At 38.6% G+C, this 24,683-nt stretch overlaps 1 protein-coding gene and 1 long non-coding RNA gene across 10 annotated transcripts in view, besides 2 other annotated features; one reads left to right on the forward strand and one right to left on the reverse strand.

Moving 5' to 3' along the window:
• Positions 1-10,554, reverse strand: part of CRPPA (CDP-L-ribitol pyrophosphorylase A) — a 334,014-nt gene extending 323,460 nt beyond the window's left edge. For all 4 annotated transcript variants that reach the window (NR_160656.1, NM_001101417.4, NM_001368197.1 and 1 more), the window contains exon 1: positions 10,082-10,554. Coding sequence is in view for 3 of the 4 variants with exons in the window: in NM_001101417.4 (NP_001094887.1) it covers positions 10,082-10,338 (257 nt within the window). In the remaining variant the exon portion in view is untranslated. The remainder of the gene's footprint in view (positions 1-10,081) is intronic.
• Positions 9,702-24,683, forward strand: part of LOC105375168 (uncharacterized) — a 50,690-nt gene continuing 35,708 nt past the window's right edge. For 2 of the 6 annotated variants that reach the window (XR_007060223.1, XR_007060219.1), the window contains exons 1-3: positions 9,702-9,998; positions 11,996-12,053; positions 23,349-23,403. This is a non-coding gene — a long non-coding RNA (uncharacterized LOC105375168). Of the gene's footprint in view, positions 9,999-11,995; positions 12,054-23,348; positions 23,434-24,683 lie in introns of all 6 variants that reach the window. The other 4 variants (XR_007060221.1, XR_007060220.1, XR_007060222.1 and 1 more) reach the window with 4 other exon arrangements.
• Positions 10,145-10,204: a silencer, noted in NCBI's record as "silent region_17981". NCBI's record gives its function as "represses an Ori minimal core promoter by ATAC-STARR-seq in GM12878 lymphoblastoid cells {active_cell/tissue: GM12878}" and the evidence as "EXISTENCE:reporter gene assay evidence [ECO:0000049][PMID:35858748]".
• Positions 10,225-10,364: a silencer, noted in NCBI's record as "silent region_17982". NCBI's record gives its function as "represses an Ori minimal core promoter by ATAC-STARR-seq in GM12878 lymphoblastoid cells {active_cell/tissue: GM12878}" and the evidence as "EXISTENCE:reporter gene assay evidence [ECO:0000049][PMID:35858748]".

Here is a 24,683-nt window from a genome sequence, read left to right on the forward strand (position 1 = left end):
GCACTGTTTATAACTTTATCTTCCTCACTAGGCTGCCAACTCATAGAAAGCAAAAACTATGTCCCAGAACTTAGCACATACTCAACTTTCAGTAACATAGTAGAAATAACACCTAAGATATATGGAATGTTTGCTAGGTACCAGGCAATCAATGTGTAGAATATTTCGCCTGCAATATCTCAATATCCATATCAGCTCTATAAAGCACATTATCATCATCTCAGCTTTACACATGAGGACACAGGCAGTAACCTGCCCATAATCACACAGCTCAGAAACTAAGGGACCAAGCTGTGATCTCCAGTCTGACTCTGGGGCCTATAACTTTAGCCTCTGTAAATAATGCACCAATACTGTCTCTGAGAGGAAGGTGAAAAATCCAGGAGAGAAAAAATCATTTTGGATCATTGCATCTACAGCACTTCATTTATATTAAGGTTGAAACACGTAATATTCCTGCTTTTATAGTCAAAAGCGCTCAAGTTTCTTATAATTTCTTGTAACTCAGGCAGAAGTAGGCATTCTTTCATGTGTTCCTTTAGTCATTTAACAAACATCAAGTATGTATCAAGCATTTGTCAGGCACTATACTAGATACTGATGAGTCAGTAATGAACAAAGACTGACAGAATTCCTAACTTCTCAACCACATGTCAGTAAGTATCTGTTAAATAAACAGAGAGGAGAATGCTTGAATAATTAGGCATAAAAACTGCTCTTAGATTTATAGAAAGCTACTAAAAGTATTTCATATATACTTCAGCTGTTTATTAGTGTGACATGTTCACTTTTTAATATAGGAGTTATAAGTATGTGTTCAACTAAATAAGTAGTATTTTTAAAGGAAAGATTACAACTTGTCCTCTAAACTATTCACCTGTCACTTTTCATAGTATATTCTACCAGAAAAAAATGGTTAAACTTTTAAGGAAATCAGTTTGCTACTTTTTAAAGAAAATTTACATTGACTTAAATGTTAAAATATGATGAAGAATTAAGAGGCAGATAGGATAACATTTGACATAAAGTAGTCATTCAAGTATCTATTCAATGAATTAACTCCCAATTTTACTAGATTGCCTTAAAATAACTCAAATTCTCCATTCCATCAGACAGAAAACAGCCAGAGTAGATGTAAATAATTACAAACAGACACTTATGGCCTTACACTATTTCAAACAATTGTATGAGACTCTAAACAGAAAATGGCATTTTAAACCAGTATTTCTCAAACTGCCAATTTCGGGTCCCATTAGAGTGTCATAAAATCAGTTTATAGTAAGTTTTAAAGCAACTTTGTTGGGTAAATGAAATGGAAATAGAACAGAAAAATTAAAATGCGTAGCACAGAGATAGGTTGTTTGCATGAATTTTCTTTCAAATGTGCGTGAGTATATAAGTAAATATGCATTTGTCACTGAGCCATGAGGCAAAAACGTAATTCTTGTAACAGGTCAAAAAAAAGTTTGGAAAACACTATTTTAGAACGCTCTTCAGAGACAATAGGCTTATAAAGCTATTTTGGTCAGCAACCAAGCATACACCCAGTACTTGCAAGTCTTTATAAGTACTGTTTGTATTTCTAAGGATTTATTCACATTCTTTTCTAGTTATAGAACTAAAAGTCTTTTATAGTATTAAAATTTAATAATGTAAAATCATGGGACTTAAAAAGACCTTAAGTACCTCACACAGTGTCTACCGATCAAATATTTGCTGAATAAAGAGATCTAGCTTACCTCTTAACTGAGGACAAGTCCACACCAAACCCTCAGCAGCCTAATTCTGTCAAGTTCTCCTGAATATTTCCTTTCTAGCACATTCCATAGGCAAATAGGAACCTAGCCTTAAGCTCTATTACACCTACAGACATTGAGGAAGAAATATAATAACTCAAAAGTTATTTTCTCCTGGAATAACAAATATTGCTTACAGGAATACTCGGCCCAGACAGTTTTAACAGATCTATTGGGAACAGAACATTTTAACAAATGCTTTATGAAACAGATGGGAAAGATCAGGCCCTGTTAACACCTCTGAAAGCCCTCTCATCTAGTCTGCAGAGTTTGGCTGCAAGGGGACAGTGGCAGCTGCTGCTCATTTCCATGGCAGCCTTCACGGAAACTTGGCCTCTGGATTGTACTATGGACATAATTCATAGATTTCTATTTCTCCATACTGACCCTGACGTTTTAGCAGCAAAATATTGAACTGGCATGATGGGGCTGAATCTTGGATTACCTTTGCAATGTGAAGCCTTCCTACTATGGCCCATGAAGGCTCCCGGTTGTCAGGCCTCAGCCTACCTGCCTTAGACTTACCACTTATTTTGAAGGTGTTCCATGCGGTCCTTTGGAAATGTAACACTGACCTCTAATCATCTGACCTGTACAAAATACAAGTCCCATGACTCAGACTTGACCCTTTTATTAAGGAAGCCTTGAGACAAAATTTTAAGTCAAATTCATCTAACCACACAACTAAAAGCTTTCCTTTCTCATTCTGAATCTCTAATACAGTTAATCACTAAGAGCTATCAACACTAGCTACTAAATATTTCTCCTGTCTTCTCTACTCCATTCCTGTTATCTCAGCCTAATTCAAGTGATCAACCTTGTTCATCTGGACTAACATTTATATCTTTACTTGTGTATCTTGTTCAACAGAATTTGCTGTGGTTTTCCAAAATCTAGGACAGCATATGTAAAAGTACACAAGAAAACAAATCGAATAAATGGACAAAAGTTTTTTTAAAAAACAAAGTTAATATACTGAAACACAGACTATGGAGTCTTAAACAATAATGAAATATAGACTTTCATTGATTTCCAAGCCCAATCTCAATCTGAAGATTTAGTTTCCATAATATAAACACATACAGATCTACAAAAGTGATTTTTCTCCCCAAATTTACCTGGAGTTGTCTGACTCAAGGAGACTAATTCACTCTAGCCAAACTGAAAATATTCTGAAACATGAATCAGTGCCAATAGATTAACATACAATGATACACACAACTATCATAAGGTCTAGAATACTTTTTAATCAGTGGAACAGCACATTTTCCTGTAGAAGATTTATAGGGGAGGCCGAGTTATAACAAACTTTGACAAGCATGAAACCATCTAAAGGAAAGTTATCTTAAGCATTGTCCTCCACCTAAGAGAGCTCAAAAACCTCATGAACTATGAGGAAAGCCCTGCCAGACCTTGTTCAAATCCACTGTCAGGAATTCCCAACCCCTACCCAACTCATCACCAAGTCTGAATAAGCATGGCCGAAGTTTGCCTTTCTTAATCCCTTTTGCTGTAGTTGTCATCTTAGTCTATTTTTCAGCTATTCCAGGTTGACCACCCCCCTACCCCAACACACACACACACACACACACACACACACACACACACACACACACACACACCCCATGACACTTTCCTTGTATATTTAAACCAGAAATTAGATTACTGGCAGGAATTTTTGCCTCCTACAACAGATCCAGGGAATACATTTTTTAAAACAGTAAAATCTAGATACATCAATTGATAAATTGTGAGTGAATGTTATGGTTTAATTGTCAGCTTTATGCCCCTGCCAATAACACCATTGTCATCTGATTTCTTGGAGCAACATTTCCTTATAGAAACTCAGGTCACAAAGCGATAGTTATCTAAGTGATTAGTACCCCTAATCTCAGTTTCTTGTTAGTAAAAGGCGAAAACTAAGATTCCCTTTAGTTTATAACCTGGGGTTCAACAATTATATTTCAGTTTGGTTAAAAAGCCAAAACAACTTTTGAAATCCTAGGAACATTTTTAATCAACTTCTGAAAGGGTCTAGTTCCCAGCATAAAGTAGAAATGAGTTGTTATATGTGATCCTTCCTAGTAATAGCCATATGCACAATTCTGGACTACCATTCTTTAAGATTGGAGTATATTAACCTATACACACATTCATGTATACTAATACATATGTCTATACATGTACATGATGTTTAATCATAATATACAAATATATCCACAAACAACATAATCTTGATATGTTAAATACTTAGCTTGTAAATCTCCATTTTCTCAGAGCCTTTAGCCAACATGCCTCAGATACTGGTGGGTTCAGAGGTACTTTTGAATCTCATTTAATCTGATAAGTAGTTTTCTAAGCAGTTTCAATGGCGCAAAGTAGAACTTGGCTAAACTAAAACTGTTCTGATTTTGACAAAAGGAAAATGGACAAGCAATCTGAAGTTCCAGTCAATTCACAAAATGGATTTTCTTTCAATGTCTCCTCCAACTCCTTGATTTTAGAAGAATAGCTACTTTAATATATGGCATGTCTGAAAAGCAGAAAACTTCCTTGAGTCATCTATCTCAGGCACTAAGGATCTCACTGTATCAAAATGTAGTCTCTCTTAATTTCCCCACTGCCATAGAGTACCGAACTCAAGTCATTAGCTGTGCTAATTCTCAGCCAGAGAATAAGCCTCAGTATCTGTTAAAGATCTGGGAATTTTACTCTTCCTTTTGAAGGATTCAATCAGGTGTCCCCTTTTCATTGTTCTACCCCACCTCCAGAGATACCCTGTGCCTCTGATGTCTATACTTTTTCAAGGTCGTATAACTTTAATCATCTTACTTCCTGAGAAGTAAGTTCTACCTGAACTGAAGTTCTACCTGAAGGCTTATGTTTTAGCTTTCCTGGGTTCATTAAATCTGATTAGGTTACCACGCGCCTAGCTCTTGAGTTTATTAGTACTTATCTGCTGCACTTCCTCTCATTCTCCCTTCTGTAGCCATACATTTTTAGCTCCTTTAGATGGGTCAAGGAAGTAGTGGAAACAAATGTATGTGTAAGTGGCAGTCTTTAACTAGAGGCAAGACTAGCCATGTTTCCTTACATTTCCCTATCCCAATTTAGGAATTTGGGGCCAAAGTTCAGAAGTTTCTACCTTCTCTTTTGCAGTCCCCAATTAGTTCAAAATTCCAAAAGACAAATCAACCCATAAGAGTTATTTTCAATGGTAGTTTGAATTTCTTAGGTGAGATATTAAAAAATTACAACTTCTCAACCCTCTATTAGTGAGATAGCAAAAGTTTGGGCAAAGAATATCCTTACTTATGAGGGGCAAATAAAATGAATTTTGAAGTCAAATTCAGGGCATCAATTTCAAACTATACTATAAGGCTACAGTAACCCAAACAGCACAGTATTGGTACACAATAGACACAGACCAATGGAACAGAACAGAGAACCCAGAAATAAAGTTGCCAAAAATAAGCAATTTTTGGGAAAAGGACTCCCTATTCCATAAATGTTGGTAGGATAGCTGGCTAGCCATATCCAGAGGAATAAAACTGGACCCCTACCTCTCACCATACACAAAAATTAACTCAAGATAGATTAAAGATTTAAATGGAAGACCTCCAACTATAAGAATCGTAGAAGAAAACCTAGTAAACACCATTCTGGGCATCAGCCTTGGGAAAGAATTTCTGACTAAGTCCTCAAAAGCAATTCCAACAAAAACAAAAATTGACAACTGAGAGAAAATTAAACTAAACAGCTTCTGCACAGCAGCCAGGTGTGGTCACTCACACTTGTAATGCCAGCACTCTGGGAGGCCGACGCAGGTGGATCACCTGAGCGCAGGAGCTCAAGACCAGCCTGCCCAACATGGCAAAACCCCATTTCTACAAACAAATACAAAAAAAAAAATTATCTGGGCATGGTGGCACGTGACTGTAGTCCCAGCTACTTGAGGGCCTGAAGTGGGAGGATCGCTTGAGCCCAGGAGGTTGAGGCTGCAGTGAGCTGAAATCCTGCCACTGCACTCCAGCCTGGGTAGCACAGTGAGACCCTATCTCCAAAAAAACAATAGAGCTTCTGCACAGCAATTGAAACTATCAGAGTAAACAGTTTTTGCACTCTCAAGCAAAGGCCTAATATCCAGAATCTATAAGGAACTGTAAACAACTGAACCAGCAAAAAACAAATACCCACATTAAAAATGCACAAATGACATGAACAAACACTTCTCAAAAGACAACATCCAAGTATCCAACAAACAAACGTTCCACATCACTAGTCAGAAATGCAAATCAAAACCACAATCAGATACCATCTCACACCAGTCATGATGACTATTATGAAAAAGCCAAAAAAAAACAGATGCTAGCAAGGCTGCAGAGAAAAGGGGAACACTTATACACTGTTACTGGGAAAGTCAATTAGTTCAATCACTGTGGAAAGAAGTTTGGAGATTTCTCAAAGAACTTAAAACAGAACTACCATTCAACCCAGCAATCTCATTAGTGGGTATATATCCAAAAGAAAACAAATGCTTCTACCAAAAAGATGCATGCACCATGTTCATCACAGTGCTATTCACAATAGCAAACACAGGGAATCAACCTAGGTGCCCATCAATGGTGGATTGGATAAAGAAAATATGGTACGTATACACTATGGAATACTATGTAGCCATAAAAAGAACAAAATCAAGTCCTTTGCAGCAACATGATTGCAGCTGGAGGCCATTATTCTAAGCAAATTAACAGAGGAACAGAAAACCAATTACCACAAGTTCTCCTAAGACGGAGCTAAACAATGGGTACTCATGGACATAAAGATGTCAACAACAGACACTGGGGATCACTAGAGGGAGGAGGGAGGGGGCAAAGGTTGAAAAACTATTCAGTACTACACTCATTACATGGGTGATGGGATCAATCATACCCTAAACTTCAGCATCACACAATATACCCAGGTAACAAATCTACACACACATTCCCTCTGAATCTAAAATAGAAGTTGAAGTTATAAAAAAAAAAATCAAATTTGGGGTATCACATACAGCCCTTGAAAAACAAGAAATGACATTCTCTTAGAATAACCTAAATGATTGACAGTGGTGACACCCATTATTTTTCTTATTTGGGACAATGAGAACTGTGCTTTCTCTTTAATAAGCAAAAAGCATGCGTAATTTCTCAACAGAGCAAAAAAGTAGTCTTATAAGGCATTTTATACTTCCATGTCCTTTTCCTTATTTGAATTTGTATAAATTATCTTTTTTAATGAAGTGACTTAAGACTTTTGGCCCCATACCCTAAGAAAACTATCAACAGTCTGTAGGGCTGATCTTTTACAGAAGGAAGTAAGGGCTTTCACTTGGCAAATGGCCAAGCAGCACCCACACACTGCTATAAAGCAAGCTTTCTAAGGACTTCCTAGGATATACCCAAAATATAATCATGTTCCATAAGCTCTTCAGACATAATAGTGATAAAAATGAGCCATGAAGTATTTCAGAATGAAAATTTTGATGAGTTACTATTGCTATTAGGATTTTCTGACTGCTGTTATCAGTTAAGTAAAAGTAGAAGACAAACGTTTTATTTTCCATAAACAAGGCCTTTCCAAACATTATTTTCCTTTAAAAGTGAGTGTATTAGTCTGTTTTCACACTGCTATAAAGAACTGCCCAAGATTAAGTAATTTATAAAGGAAAGAGGTTTAATTGACTCACAGTTCAGCATGGCTGGGGAGGCCTCAGGAAACTTACAAGCATGGTGGAAGGTGAAGGGAAAGGAAGGTGCCTTCTTCACAAGGCAGCAGGAAGGAGAATGAACACAGGAGGAACTACGAAACACTAACAAAACTACCAGATCTCATGAGAACTCACTATCAAGAGACCAGCATGGGGGAAACAATCCCCATGATTCAATTACCTCCACCTGATCTCTGTCCCATGATTCAATTACTTCCACCTGATCTCTCCTTTAACATGCGGGGTTATGGGGATTAAAATTCAAGATGAGATTTTTGGGTGGAGACACAGCCAAACCATATCAGTGAGATTTTTAGTGTCCGCCTATCTTAGACTGCCTCAGAAGATGCAAAAAATTAAAGTTAATGCAAAAGTTTTCTCCATGGGAGAAAAGTTTAGTGTAAAAGTGACTATAATCCCCATAGCTAATTACCACGCAGATAAAGATCCTGCTGGCCAAGACCCATTGTGTCCCACAGAAATGCCTTCATATATGAGCTATGTTGTCACAATGTTCATGGCACTGGAATATTATAGGTAAGTGGTTCATGAAATGGTTTCAGGGACCCCTCTCCCCACTACCCAGAGAAATGGAATAAAGTTAGCAACTGGAATCATTTCAAATTTTGAGTTTCAGATGTAATCATTGGGCAGATTACCTAAATCAGTGATTATGGCTTTTTACACTTCCATTTTCCAAACTCCAATATTCAGAAAGTAAAATAGTCATATGAGAACCTGAAACTGCCTTTGTGAAAATTATAACTGAGGAAATTAGGACAGTGAAAGATCAGTCCTAACTAACTCCATCTTGCTTCTAACCATTAAGCTCATTCCTTGGCATAGGCCGAACTAACCTTGGGAAGGAATTTAGTTTATGGTTTGACTCTGGAACAAAATTGATAATAGCCCTTTCCCAAAAAGACCCCTTTCTTGCCTGGGGACCAGTCTGCCTTCACAGGACTAACAAATTAGCTACAAGATTAGAAATTACAGTTTAGGGGTCATGCATCCTCTGGCTGCAAGAGTCTGAACCTCTCCAAATTGCTCCTGGGGATAACATCACTATTGTAAAACCTAAGATCAGTGCTTGAGATATTTTATAGACCCTTCACTCCATGAATCAGCTGACACCACCCAACCCAGTAATCTGTCTCAACCAGTTCTGCGATCCCACCCAGAAACAGAAGACACCAAGAAAACCTCACATAGACCCCCTATGATTCCATCTCCAAACTCATCAATTCGCACTCCCCACTTCCCGAGCCTCTACCCGCCAAATTATCTTTTAAAACTCCGATCCCGAAATGCTCGATTTGAGTAATAATTTTTGAGTAATAATTTTTTGAGTAATAATTTGATATGAGACTGATTTGAGTAATAATAAAACTCCAATCTCCCGCACAGCCGACTCTGCGTGAATTACTCTTTCTCCATTGCAATTCCCCTGTCTTGATAAATCCGCTCTGTTTAGGCAGGGGCAAGGTGAACCCGTGGGGCGGTTACAAAACAACTTGAACCTTTTGGCTTTTGAAGCATGTGTGAGGGTTTGCGTGGGGCTCCTTTCTGGGGAACGTGCCACTTCCCTTGGACTAGAACCTCACTAGCTTGGTTTTCAAAACCTCCTGCAAAGGCAATGTATGCTAAAGGATGACATCTATCTGGAAATGCAAACGGTTCGCATCAATTCAAGGCTTCACAAACTACCACAGCTCCCCACTGGCTTCAGAGAAGTTCAAACACCTTAGCAAAATTATGTGGATATTTGTAATGCCGCTGCTTCCCACCCCTGCACCCTCGCCCCAAGCTCCACCTCATTACTCAGTGCTAAAAGCAAAGTAAGTTAATATTATAACATACCCCTTCATTTCACTTCCTCAGCTCCTCACGACTGTTCCCCTAGTCCTCCTTATCCCATTCCCTGTCTCCTTCATTTCCCCAACTAGTTAACTTCAGTGCCCTTTCTAAGATAAAGGGGGTATGACCTCAAATTCAGGCTTAAAGCCCTTTCCACCATTGAAAGGTTATTAAATTCTGCTCCTCTCCCCTCCTGCAGCACCTAGTAATTAGCGCAGCCTGTCTCACAGAAGGTGCTCAGTAAATGAATGAAAAAAACGAACACACGCCCTGGAAACTTCAGTGTGCACGTACAACTCAATCCACGCATGCGCGGAGGCAGAGCCCCAGGACCGCGAGACTATCCGCACAGCTTCTCCTCAGGCCCCACAGCTAGAACCCCAAATCGCCTAGTCCCAACCCATGCACTCTCTAATCGGCGCCACACGACGGGCCTTCCCCACAACCTCATCTGCTTGGGGACGTAAAGGGCTCTGTGGGGGAGCTGCAGCTTTCGTGCCCATCTGTTAAAGGCCAGAACTTCCCATCTCTGAAATGCGGGAGGGAACAGAGCTCAAGCTTGAATAACTGAGCGCGGCCCGGCAGTCCCCCAAGTGAAGGTGCTAGCGCTAGAGCAGCGGCAGGGCGGGGAGCGGGAGGCCGGGCCCCAGGGAACCGCGGGGCGCGCCCGGCGCCGCATTACCTCTCCAGGGCCTGTAGGGTGTAGCTGATGAGCGGCCTCTCCAGGATGGGGCAGAATTGCTTCGGGGTGGGGACCCCCATCCTCTCCCCGCACCCCCCGGCAGGCAACACAGCTGCCACGGCTTGCGGGTGGCGCCCGGGCTCGGTCCCGGCCACGCTCTGCAGGGAGGCGGAAGCCGTGTGGTCCGCGCCGCGCTGACCACTCAGGCAAGGACCCGGCTCCGCCGGCCTGGCGCTGCCCGGCGGCCCGGCCTCCATGGCTGCGGGCGGAACGGCGAGCCCCGCTAGCCTCGGGCCGATGCGACCCCGCGCTGCTCCCACCCTCGGCCGGGGTCGCGGGGCGAAGGGCAGACCACGGAGAGGGACGCAGAGCGCGCAAGCAGAAGGCGCCCCCCTCAGCCGTCGGAGCCCCGCTGTTGCTGCCCCGCAGGGGACGATCCCGACAGCTACGGCAGCAGCTGAGGCTGCCGATCTGCCCTCGCGGCTCGGCTGCGGCCTCCGCACCCGGTCCCAGCGCCTGCGGGAGGGCTGACTTGCCCGCTCTGCGCTTCCCCCGGGCAGGCCCAGCTGTCGCCGCAAGTGGAAATGTCAGAACGCCCTACATATCTAAAGATCGCAGATACTCAAGGGCCATGAGTATGCAGGAGAGGTCAGGCCTCTGTCCCATCCCTCCCTGCTTTAAAATTTCGGAAGAGATTGGGATTCAAGTCACAGGATGGGACGTAGGGTGCGTATGCACCTCGATTATCTGAATTCCATTAAGCTCTGGAGGCTTCCTGGTTCCACCTGGGGTAAAGACAGATGGATTAGCAAGTGTTATTGTGGCACATCAATAATCCAAACTGTGGTGGCTCTCAAACTTGTCTGCACTTTGGAACCACCTGGGGAGCGTGTCCTGACACGCTCAGAGATTGGGATTTAATTGGTCTGGTGAGCACCGGACTTTGGAATGTTTTTAAAGATCCTCGGGTGATTCTGATGAGCAGGCATGTTTTGGAACCATAGGGTCAAAGCAATACTAATTGCTGAACAATCGATACACCTTATGTCATTTAGTCCCCAGAAGAACTCAACTATTGCCATTTCCCTTTTTACAAAGGGGAAAAGACGTTAAAATGGTTAATTTATGTAAGATTGCACAACTAATGGCAGAGGAGCCTTAAGGCCCTCATACAGAAGTAGGCCAAAGTTGAAGAATTCCAGGCCTAAAGCATATCTTACCTTATTTAGTACTCTTGTTGCTGGTGAGGTTTACCATGAAAGTATAGTGAGAATTTGGAGGAGAGCACTATTGTATTAGGTCCCTGGAATGTAAACTCCATGCAAGCAGCAACATTTTTCTTTTGGCTTGGGTTGTGTGTGTGTGCCCAGCTCCTGGAATGTAACACAAGCTTAATATGTATTGAATGAATTGCTGATTAAATAGATTAATGATCATTAAAGTGTATAATCATCAGTAATTCAGTCTTAATCCAGTGGCTTATGATTAATAAAAAATAATCTTTTTAAACACTGGAAATGTTATCTAGTTGTAGTATTACAATTTTTATTTTTACCTGTTTTCTTGAGAGCATATAAAAATATGTTTTCTGCTTTTCCTTTTTGTTTAGTCTTATTGAAGGCATTCTTTCACTTTTGTTACTTTTATTATAATTAGCATTTAGGTCCTGTGCTAGTTGGTTTCTTAACTGAAAAGTGGGTGCCATAATATACTTCCTTGTAATTTTTATTGCTATCGTTCCTTTCTAATTTGATCTCGAGGTCTCTCTCTTACGAGTGGCCATAAGCCAGAACAGCCACTCTTCAGGAGAGCCCTGGCCCAGAGAGGAAAGCTAGGTTCTGGTGTGCAGGTGAGACGCCAGAGGAGGCAGCACACAAAACATGTGAAATAACAGGCGCATTTTATTACTTACAGATTCACCAGAGAATAAGCCTGATGGAAGTCTGGAGATAACAGGACTCCCAACCAGCAGGTGGGGTGCAAGAGAGAGGACCTGTGGGGCTGTGTTAAGGTCCAAAGGCTTTATCCCTTAGGCTTTCCAGAGGGGGTTGTGGATTGACTAGTTTAAAGAAAACACCAGCAAAGGGAGAACTTGACTCTGGTGTTGACCATTGGGTTTTATCATGGTTAGCAGCTGTTGGGTTTTTGGTCATGGAATGAGGAATAAGTGTTCTATATCACAGGGAGGGGAAGTTTTAAGTAGGCCACAGGTGACGTGATACAACTGGGTTTCAAACAGCTTATATCAGGCCTAAAAATGGATGCCCAGGCAGCAACTATATTAAACAAGTTTGGCACAATACTTGACTTCATAGCGCCACTACCACACCTGTATCAAGCATTTAAATATCTGTTGACTAACTGGGTGGATAAATAAATGAGTCTATCTATGAGAGCAGGAAGGCAAATCGAATTAGTATTTCTATTAATATTGATCTTTAAACCTCCCTTTTTAATCTAAAGGTGGAGTTGTTATAAAGGTATTCTTCCTTTACTTAATCTTGAGTGAAGAAAAGTAGAGTAATAAAGCTCTTGTTATACTAATTGCTATAGAATAATTTTATATAATTAAACATTGACAAATTTTAACTAGAATCTTAGTTTTGTTCTTAGAGCAGATATATCAATTTAGATCTTCCATGAATCCTTAGATCCTTAGATCTTATATACTGTATATTAACAATGTCTAGCAGACCAACTTGTAGAGAAAAAAGGGCACATTAAAGTATTCATTCATATACGTAGTATGAAGCAACATTTTTCTCTCTGTCCTTTTTATATAAATATAATTAGTTCCATGTTTTGCATACTTTGGGGTAACAGATGTAGCTTCCTTGTTACTTAATACCAAGTTATAGCAGCCACAATATGAGAATATCTTCTCTGCATCAGGCATGTGAAAGTACATACCCTGAAAAGTGAACTCCTCTGGGACCCATTGGTAATAACAATTCTAAGATATCACTTGAAGAGTTTAGAAAAAATAAACCCCAACTGAATCATGAGGCAGAGCATGCAGAGTTGGAAGTTCCTGGAGTGGTTTCCATTTTGAGCTTCCAAGTAGGCAAAATAATGACTCCCCAAAGATGCCCATGCTCTTATCTCCAGAAGCTATGAATATGTTACCTTACACTGCTAAAGAGACATTGCAGATGTGATTAAGTGAAGGATCTCAAGATGGAGGGGAGTAGCCTGGATTATCCAGGTGGGCCCTGTGTAATCTCTGGCATCCTTATAGGAGAGAGGTCAGAGTTAGAGAAGGAGGTATGAGGATGGAAGCAGCCATCAGAGTGCAGAGGGGTGGGAATGTAGGCAACCTCTAAAAGCTGGAAAAGGCAAGGAAACAGGTTTTTCTCTTAGAGCCTGCAGAATAATATAGCCCTGCCACCCCATTTTCAGATTTCTGATATCCAGAACTGTAAGATAACATACTTGAGTTGTTTTAAGCTGCTAAATCTGTGGTAATTTATTATAGCAGCAAGAGGAAACTAATACAGGCTTCACACTGAGGAAGATTCTCATTTGGACTATAATCTGCAAATGAAGTTATACGTAGTTAGAAATGCAGTAATATGATTGAAAAAATAAGGCACTGTTCATTCAACTTTATGTCTCGTTACTAGAACCCCAGTATTGACTTTTAAAATAAATCCTTTGTCTTGTGAATTTAAAAATGTATTATAAATGTTTAAAGCATAACTTTGTTAAATGTATACCACGATTTCATAACCTGGCTTTGGCATGCCTTTAATTTTTTAAAGTAGACTAAGTGTAGTTTTAGGTTCACAGCAAAATTGAGAGAAAGGTACAAAAATTTCCAATAGCTCCCTGCCCCACACATACATAGCCTCCCACATTATTAACATCTCCCACCAGAGTGGTACATTGGTTACAACTGATGAACCTACAGTGACACATCATTATAACCCACAGTCCCTAGTTTACGTTAGAGTTCACACTTGGTGTTGTACATTCATTCTATAGGATTGATAAATTTACAGTGATGTGTATCCACCATTACAGTATCATGCAGAGTAATTTCACTGCCCTAAAATCCTCTATCCTCTGTCTATTCATGCCTTCCTCTCCTCTAATCCCTGCCCAATCCCTGGCATCCAATTATCTTTTTACTGCCTCCATGCTTTTGCCTTTTCCAGAACATCATATAGTTGGAACCATACAGTATTCTTTTCAGATTGGCTTCTTTCACTTAGTAATATGCATTTAAGTTTTCTCCATATCTTTTCATGGCTTGACAGCTTCTTTCTCTTTAACACTGATTTTTTTTTTTTTTCTGGATGTACTGTGATGTATTTATTCACTCACCTACTGAAAGACATCTTGTTTGCTTCCAAGTTTTGGCAATTATGATTAAGCTGTAATAAACATCTCTGTGTAGGGTTTTTTTTAATTTTATTTTAAGTTCTGGGGTACATGTGCAGGATGTGCAGGTTTGTTACAAAGGTAAACGTATGCCATGGTGGTTTGCTGTACCTATCAACCCTTGACCTAGGTATTAAACCCAGCATGCATTAGCTATTTTTCCTAATGTTCTCCCTCCCCACTCCCCATCTCCCTACAGGTCCCGGTGTGGTTCCCCTCCCCGTGTTCTGATTATTCAGCTCTCACTTATAAGTGAGAACATGCGGTGTTTGGTTTTCTGTTCCTCTGTGCAGGTTTTTATGTGTACAAAAATTTTCAATTCCTTTGGGTAAATACCAAGGAGAAAGATTGCTGAATTGCACGGGCAAAAGTATGGTCAGTTTTGTAAGAAACGGCCAAACGGTCCTCCAAAATAGGTATACCATTTTGCATTCCCACCAGCAATGAATGAGAGTTTCTGTTGCTTCACATCCTCACCAGCATTTGGTGTGTCAGTGTTCTGGATGTTGGCCATTCTAATAGGTGTGTAGTGGTATCTCAGTGTTGATTTAATTTGTATTTATTTGATGACATATGATGTTGAGCATTGTTCATATGCGTATTTGTCATGTGTATCATATTTGGTGAGGTGTCAGAGTCTTTGGCCCACTTTTTAGTTGGGTCATTTGTGTTTTTATTGTTCAGTTTTGAGAGTTCTTTGTTTATTTTGAAGAACAATTTTTTATCTGATATTACTTTGGCAAATATTTTCTCTGTGGCTTGTCTTCTTATTCTCAACAGTGTCTTTTGCAGAGCAGAAATTTTTAGTGATAATGAAGTCCAGCTTATCAATTGTTTTTCATGGATCATGCCTTTGGTGGTGCTTTTAAAAAATGATCACCTAGGTTTTCTGCTATGCTATCTATTAGGAGTTTTATAGTTTTGTGGGTTTTTTTAGGTCGGTGATTCATTTAGGTCAGTGAGTTTTGAGTTAATTTTGTAAAGGGTATAAGGTTTGTCTAGATTATTTGTTGTTTTTGCATGTAGATATGCAGTTGTTGCAGCAACATTTGTTGAAAAGACTGTCTTCGCTTCATTTTGTTGCCTTTGCTCCTTTGTCAAAGATCAGTTGACTGTATTTATTTGAGTCTAATTCTGGTTTCTTTATAATGTTCCATTGATTCATTTGTACATCCTTTAGTCAATACCACACTGTCCTGATTACTGTAGCTTTTTATATGTCTTGAGATCCAGTAGTGTCTGTCTTCCAACTTTGTTCTTCTTCAATATCGTGTTGGCTATTCTGGGTCTCTTGCCTCTCCATATAAACTTAAAAATCAGTTTGTCAATGTCCACAAAATAACTTGCTGGTATTTTGATTGGGATTGCATTGAATTTATAGATTAATTTTGGAAGAACTGACATCTTGACAACATTGAGTCTTTCTACCCACAAACATGGAACATCTTTACTTAGTTCTTTTGTGATATCTTTCATCAGTTTTGTACTTTTTCTCATATGGATCTTGTACATGTTGTCTTAAATGTACACCTAAGGATTTCATGGGGGGGTTAATGTAAATAATACTGTGTTTTTAATTTCAAATTCCACTTGTTCATTACTGGTATATAGAAAATGACTGACTTTTTTGTATTAACCTTGGATCCTACAGCACTGCTATAATCACTTATTAGTTCCTGCCGTTGTCTTTACTTTTTAGTATGCACAGAAGTGCACAATAAATGGAAGTGGCTCTCATCTTTATATCTGAAATACCCAAAACTTACTTTTTTGTTTGTTTGTTTGTCTTTACATGTTAGTATACCTCTCTGGAATACTTGTCTTAGAGATTTCTTTTATTAGAAAATTTTAGTTTCCAGTGGGTTAATTTTTTTAGTATTAACTCAAATATAATTAGCACTACCAGTCATACCCCTCCTCCCCAGCTACACTTATTGTTTTAGTACCCTTTCTTGAGATTAGTTGGGGTGTTTCTCATCAGTACTAATGAACAGCTTAACGGTTCATCCTTTAACTCCACTGAAATCAGAGCCAGAAGAAATAAATTAACATTCTACCATGGGCCATCCCCATAATTTCTGGCAGCCTATGAATTCTAATTTCTGTTTTGCTATTGTGTATCTTATGTAAATGGTACAGTCTATTAACCTCTGACCTTTAACTCATTTTTATACATAAGAAAGGTGACACTCAGAATTGAGGTCTCTCTGCAGATAATGCAGACTAAACAATACCACGTGACAACATTATTATTATCTTTTATTTTCATAATATTTCTTGCAAAGTTATTGTCAGTTGTCTCTACCATCCACTCTGCTTTTCCTGTATAGCTGAAAAGGGAAGCAATGGTGAATATTTAGCCTTAGGACTGAATTAATGATACTAAAGTTTAACTTTTCATAAGAAGCACCTGGAACAATTGTTTCTATGTAGTATTTTTATATATTTTATACAATATAATTTATATAGTATATATTATATAATAATCTTAGAAAATATATTCCTGGCATCTACTGACAGAAATTTTGATTAAATGCCTCCAGAGTAGAACCAGGAATCTGAGTTTTGATACACCTCCATAGATTCCAGTGTAGTTATCAGCCAGACTGAAATAAACACTGAATTTAAAAGAACTATACCCCAACTCACTTTATGTTCAATACATTTAATTTCAGTACCCAAAGCAAAATGCATGTAATATATTAAAATACCATATAAAAATTGCATAAGAAATTTATTTTAAAATTGCATAAGAAATTCATTAAACTGTTTCATTTTCTTGTTAATTTGTAAGAAGGGAAACACAAGGGAAGAATATTTAAGTACCAGAACAGAATGATGGAAGAGAAACAGAAAACCAGATCATCCCCTGGTATTTCTACAGACCTGTCATTCTGTGTGTGTGTGTGCACTTAGAATTCATTTTGCCTTGTAAAAGCTGTCATTTAAACACAGTGTCACCTCTGAGAACCATCAAAGGCAGTATCCTTGACCACAGCTTAAATAGAATAGGAATTGTTGCCTGAAACTGCTCTGAGCACAGAACTAATGCATGCAGTTCAACTGAGGATGCCACATTACTCCAGAAACCAAAAGAGGGTAATGACCCCTTGCACAAGGGACAATGTAACAGAGATAATATCTTTGAAAGTTTTGTTTAGGAAACAAATCACTAATCTAGAGATGGTGGTGGCCAGCCTTAATAATCTGTGGAAGGGAGGAACATATGGAATCATTAAAGAAAAGCAACAGCTAGAAAAGGTAGATTTGTCATTTCTGCAAGAAACATATTGACAACAGCTGTTTATATGCATTTTAACCTTGACTCATTGCTAAAAGAAGATTTAAAGAAGAAAAAATTTGGCTTTAAGATGAAAATGGTCCAAAGGAATTCAAAGTCATATCTTTTATCTGAGGGATAAGAAAAAGAGAATGCGGACGTTGTTCCTTGTGACCACAGCCACCACCCCCATCAACTTGCCAAGCACAGAGTAAATACAGGAAGTGAGCTGTCCAATAGTCTGAATTTCAGACATCATTGCCTTATAGTGCCTTACCCATGAGGGCACCACATCTTTATCTTAAGCAAATTGAAAGGGACTATGGTAGGGTAGAAGCACAAGGGGTAACATGGAGAAGGGAGAGAGAAGACTGCAACAGTCTTTTCATATAATAATATAGTCTCTTCAGTGATGTCCAAAGGATGTAAGGATATAAACAAGCTTTTGATTTTTGCAAAAAGAATGTTTCATTGCTCTCCAGCATGGGACACTCACTGGGATAGACCCTCCCTCCTCCCCCACGAAAAAGAAGAAGAAAAAAAGAATATACAGAGTTTGGGAAGATGCTGTATCATCTACTTAGGAGAGCAATAAACTGTACTGTTTTGGACAATAAGTACTTAGTGGTGACAAAAGGACAATATTTTATGTAGAAGTAACTTGCAGCAGACAGTTAAGAGGAATAAATGAGGACACTGTGTTGTCTTTACTGTACGTGAATAGAAATAAGTTAAATAGAAATTAAGTACTTTCCTTTGTGACCATTGCTACCACTAATTGGCTTAAGACATAAATGAAAGAATAAATGAATAATTGAACGTTAAACTTACCATTGAATATAAACTTAAATCAATAAAGAACTATTTACATTTACTCTTCAGAAAAATTAGAGTGCTTGAAACTATTCACAAAATAAAAAGTTTGTTTTGTTTTTAAGTTTGTAAAGACTCTCTCACTCCAACTTCTTATGTCTTTTCACCTCTCCTACCACTTATCCTTGAAAGAATTCAAGATCTTGACAAGTGATTAAAAAGAAAATCAGAAACTTCCCCCTTTGTCAAATCTTCCTTAGTAATTATTCTCTCTTAACTTCATAAAAATATATGGTTATTAACTGCTATAGTACAATAACAAAACTATACATGAAACTAACCAACACTGGTCTTGGGCAAGTTATCAAATTTCATTATGCTTGTCTTGGTTCTCCTGGCCTCTTGCCTTTCTATAGTCTTTTTATTTTTCCTCACTACCTCCTGAATTGGGTATCTCACTATCAGCTCTGCTGAACCGGAATTCACTTGTGTCTTTCATCTACGAACTTAATCCTGCTAGTCCTGACCAGGACAGGCAGCTTCACTTTGTGAATGGGCCGAATCTTGCATTTGTCTCATTGCCTAGAAAACTGTCTTACTATTCATGGGGTGTACCCACCACTTGCAACCTTTTTCCCAAACTTAACCTCATTGACCCGGGTCTTATAACTGGCTCCTTCTTGGGATTTCACATCTCTTTAGCATGAAGTAAAACACAACCCCGGTTTGACTGACTAGGCTTGAGTCATCAGAGGGCTGACTTCTGATTAATTGGCCGAAGAACTGCTATGAAAGGATTAATCACATACAAACAGGTTGTCACCCCTTGACTGGCTTTAATTGTTATTCTTGTGACTTCTGATGCCTGGGTCTCCCTGGGATGCTCTACAGCCTGGCCTTGGCTTACTTCCCATCCCCACCAGCCAGTGCTGCTAAGATCTGAGCTTGCTCATGTTATGACCCTAAGGCCCTCCTGTCCCTACTTAATCTGGCTGTCAAGAAAAATCTAATCTTTTCATTTATCTTCAAGAATAAGTAGTTATAGTTGTTTGAGACGTCTCCACTTTAGTAAATATCAGAACCATAATTGCTATGATTTGAATATGTTCCTTAAAGTTGATGTGTTGAAAACTTAATTGCCATTGCAGCAGTATTAAAAGGTTAGGCCTTTAAAAGTTCATTAGGTAATGAAGGCTTTGCCCTCATGAATGAATTAATGCCATCATCATGAGAGTGGGCTCCTGATAAAATAATGAAAATTTGGCCCCCATTCCTTTTCTGTCTTACGTGCTTACTTCTGCCTTTTGCCCTGCTGCTATGCAGTAACAATCAACCAGATGCTGTTACTGTGTTCTTGGACTTCCTAGCCTCCAGAACTGTGAGCCATATAAACTTCTATTCTTTATAAATTACCAAACCTGTACTACTCTGTTATAACAGCAGAAATGCACTAAGACTATAATCTAAAGGCTTGATATTCTAACCCTGGAAATTTCCAAGGCCTGGGAATAATGGCAAGAAGTCAAGAAATATACCTTACACATGAGCCAGTGAAAGACTCATCTTGAAAATAACTCATACCTTATATTTGAGGGGATGATCAAGGGTAAATATGCTCTGTAACTGATAAATCAGTTAAGTTGTGGAGAATAAAAACTATAACATTTACAACTTTTTTCAATTGTCTATTGCTGTATAAAAAACCGTTTCAAAACTTAGCAGCTTAAAACAACACCATCTTATTGCTCACAGTTTTATGGATCCAGATTTTAAGCAGCACTAAAGGAAGCAGCTCATCTCTCTTTCACATGGGGTTGGCTAAGGTAGTTCAAATGAAGCTAAAGGAGGATCCAAAATGGACTCCTTTATAGGTTGGGGTCCTTGGTGTTGGATATTGCCTGGGGCACCTTAGTTCTCTTCCACATGGTATTTTTCTCCAGCAGGATAGCCTGATCTTCTTTATATAGTGAATGGTTTCTTTAAAAAACAAACAAACAGATTCTGCCAACGCCTCTTAAATTTCATGCCCCAAACTAGCACAGTGTCAAATCTGTGTCATTCTGTTGGTCAAAGGAAGTCACAAGTCCAGACAGAATTCAAGAAGAGGGAAAGTAGCTGCACATCATGATGAAAGGAATTTTTACAGAAAATGAAGGAATTATTAATGGCCATCTTTGCAGACAATCTTCAACAGGCATTGAGGTGGTTAATTTTATGTGTCAACTTCACTAAGCACAGGATGCTCAGATAGCTGGGTGAGCATTATTTCTGGGTGTGTCTGTGAGGGTGTTTCCAGAAGAGATTAGCATTTGAATTTGTAAGCTGAGTAAAGCAGATAGTCCTCTCCAATATCGTGGGCATCATCTAATGTGTGGAGGGCTTGAATAGAACAAAAAAGTGGAAGAAGGTTGAATTGCCTCTCTGTTTGACAGCTTAAGTTTTACATTAATCTTCTCCTAACATAGGTCCTCCTGATTCTCAGGCCTTCAGACACAGACTGGAATCTAAAGCATTGGCTCTCGGGCTATCCACCCTTCAGACTACAGGACCAGCTTTCCTGGGTCTCCAGTTTGCAATCAACCTACCCTGGGACTTTTCAGCCTCCATAATTGCCTGAGCCAATACTTTATAATAAATATATATCTTCTTATTGGTGCAGTTTCTCTAGAGAACCCTGACTAACATAGGCACCAAACATCCATTTTAATAATCCACTTGTCTTTAGATCACAGCAATATCTACTCAAGAGGTACAGACTCCATTGATTTCTGGCCACAGGAGGGCAGAAGAGTCAATAGGTTATTATTTGGCCTTCCAGGAGAGGGAGATGTCAAAGAAATTCAGAGTGATCTGTATGGCTGTATCTGCTCTTTGGGATCATTTATTTCTACAGGCTGTTCACTTTTAAGGTACCAATAGCTGTCAAAAACCCTCCTTTGCCATCATAAAATCCCAAAACTAGGGTTGAAATATTGGCAAAGAGAGTATATGTTTAAGAAATTGTTTCTGATACGGATGACCCTGCTTTTATATATCCCAAGTGATATACAAAGAACTGATTTTCAAGATGTGACAACATTTAGGTCTCACTTATAAGTGAAGCTCTCCTTAGGACCATACTGTATGGATTAACACTTTATTATTAGAAGGAGAAATGGTAGCAGTGAGAAATTCTTCATATTTGTAATTTTTTCCATTTTTAATTTCAACCACACATATTAAATGTAACTTTAATCAGAGTTAAAACCATGTCACATGATGATCTTAATTTACAAGTCAACAAAACTACAAATATGAAGAAATATTTGCAATAACAGATTAAAAGCAATTAATTTCTTTGAAAGTCAATGAAAAAAATTTTTTTTTCTTTTTTGGAGATGGAATCTCACTCTGTTGCCCAGGCTGGAGTGCAGTGGTGCGATCTCAGCTCACTGCAACCTCCACCTCCCGGGTTCAAGCGATTCTCCTGCCTCAGCCTCCTGAGTAGCTGGGATTACAGGCACACACCACAATGCCTGACTAATTTTTTGTATTTGTAGTAGAGACGGGGTTTCACCGTGTTAGCCAGGATGGTCTCCATCTCCTGACCTCGTGATCCACCCACCTCAGCCTCCTAAAGTGCTGGGATTACGGGCATGAGCTACCACACCCAGCCCCAATGAACAATAGAAGGTGATTTTTATTACCTCAAAGCTGAAAGTTATAAGCTCTGAGTATTATAATTTTTTGTGGCCATCTACTTTAAGAGAGAGAAATGTCTACAAAATGATATGAGCTTTTTTTCCTCTACCTACAGTTGTATACTGAGCAAAGCAGGAATTTCTGAACATTAAAACTACGCTATGTTGGAAAGGGAGCCAAAAAGCTCGATATCTACTAGAGATGTACAAACTTTCTTTAACAGAAGTCACCTGCTTATCAGTTTTTGATAAATAACCCACTGGCAGTAACAATAGGAGAAAAACAATGTATTTTGCCTAATGTTCTATCATGTGGACATGGTGTCCCACTTCAACGACTTGTTTATCTGAGTTAGACCTCTCATTTGAAATCATGGGTGCCATATTTGAACTGTTAATTGCTTCTTCATATCTTGGGACTGGAACTGGATTAAGAGTCCTATCTTATAGGAGACTTCTCCCTGCTTACAAATCCTCTGAAGAGCATAAGTAAATGTGTCGGCCAGAAATAATGGAAGAAACCATCAACAAATGGGGGGAAATCAGATAGAGTCATGGTGTCACTTTCACTTTTGCCATTGCCTGCTGTATTCCAGCTTCTGATTCCACTGCAAATGGAAGCAAAGAAAGCTCATATAGTAATAACAGCAACTAAGGCAACAGTAGTTTTACGTTGATAAGCTAGAGATTTTGAAAGTAAGAGGCTGGCACATAAACTAGATTAGTAGTTCTCAGCTAGGCTACACATCAGAATCATCTGTGGGGTTTTTACAGCTGCAGATGCTAAATCAGAATCCAAGACAGGAAAGTGAAAGTGCTTATTCCAATGAAGACCTTTGTTGATAGTCACCATACTAGATTATCTACAAAGCTGGAAAACCTGGTCTAATTTAACAATTTCTAATTGATGAAGGTGAACAGAGTGTGGTATAATGAACTGAGTACTGAATCAGGGAATAGGTCTAATTTTACTCTGTGAACAGACTTGTTGAATAATTTTAGCTTATTACATGTATCACATTTTAGGCACAGTATTATATGTGTACATCAATAATTCTTTCAGTTCACAATGCTTTGTGATACAAAGGTTATTCTTGCTCCTTTTTTACAGATGTGAAACCTGAAATTAGTGATTTGCCAAAGGAAATGATGAGCTGTGATCCCAGGTCTGTCTAACCTATACTTGTCTCCAAACGGTAGGACAGTGTTTCCGTTCTCTCCATAGTGAGATTCAGCCTCTTTAATGCCTCTTTTAGCAAAATATTACAATGAACTCTTCTCCAATGAACAGTGAGCAATGTCTCCTTGAGCAAACTTTCTTGGATGAATTGAGATGAGGCAACTGAAGAAGGCATTGAAAACTATAATATTCCTTAGAAATTAAGATTTCTTCTCATCTTGAATAATGGCTCTTACATCATCCTAAAGTATAAAATACTTTTTTTCTGAAAATACTTGTTTCTTCATTTTATTACCTTACTTCAACATTTTCCATTATTACAAAATGTTTATTTCAAAAATTGTCTCAAAAATTTTCCGACATAAGCCACCACAATTTTTCCTCAGTAGAAGTGTAATATAAATAAATTGAAATCAAGTTTTCTCTTCATTATAAAAATATTCCCCAAAATTGCATGGTAACTCAATTTTTAATCAAATTTGTTGTTGAATTTTGGAAAAGCTTTTTTAAAGTCTTAAAGTTCAATTAGTTTTTCAAAGAGCCCTAGTATAGCACAAAAACATCATTACTCTTATAAAAACTATATTTTTATTTCCCTAGTAATTTGCCCTGGCAGACTCGGGGGTCAAGGACCTGGTGTTGCAAAATTCCAGTAGTTACCATGTCCAGAAGATATACTGTAAATTGTGCTTCCAGAAGTTGGGTCATACAATGGTACAAATGGAAACTTTGATTTATTATTTTGTTGCTTCTTGTTAACTAATTTTAGAAGACTGAGAGTGGGGGTGTCCATGCTTTAGATCCTTCAAAGAAGGGATTAATGAAAATTTGTTGTTGCTTTTTGGTAAAAACTACTCATTGAGCTAACAGCTAAAAAACTGAATTTCAATATTACCATAAATTTGAAGACAAAATGTTTCCTTGTGGAGGAGGAGTTTGGGCAAAGTATAAATAAGTAATTAAAATTGTGCTCAACTAAAGAGTTTATTGTGGAGGGAAAAGTGATCTCGTGTTCATAAGTGGAAATTAAATGTTTTTATAGAGTGGTGCAGTTATTGCGACAGTGCAAATTATATTAATAGCTAATAGAGAATTCAAATAAAATGTTTCTAAATTATAAAGGCCTACCCCTTTTAATTGAGTTTTGTGTGATTGTCACATGAATGAAATAAAATCTAAGTGTTTCTCATTTTTTCTGCTGGAGCAGACATTCATTTGTTCAAAATGTTCTCACTTTTATCATTGGCATTCAAGCTTTTTGATGGT

This window comes from Homo sapiens, chromosome 7 (genome assembly GCF_000001405.40).
Source record: "Homo sapiens chromosome 7, GRCh38.p14 Primary Assembly".
Lineage (NCBI taxonomy): Eukaryota > Metazoa > Chordata > Mammalia > Primates > Hominidae > Homo > Homo sapiens.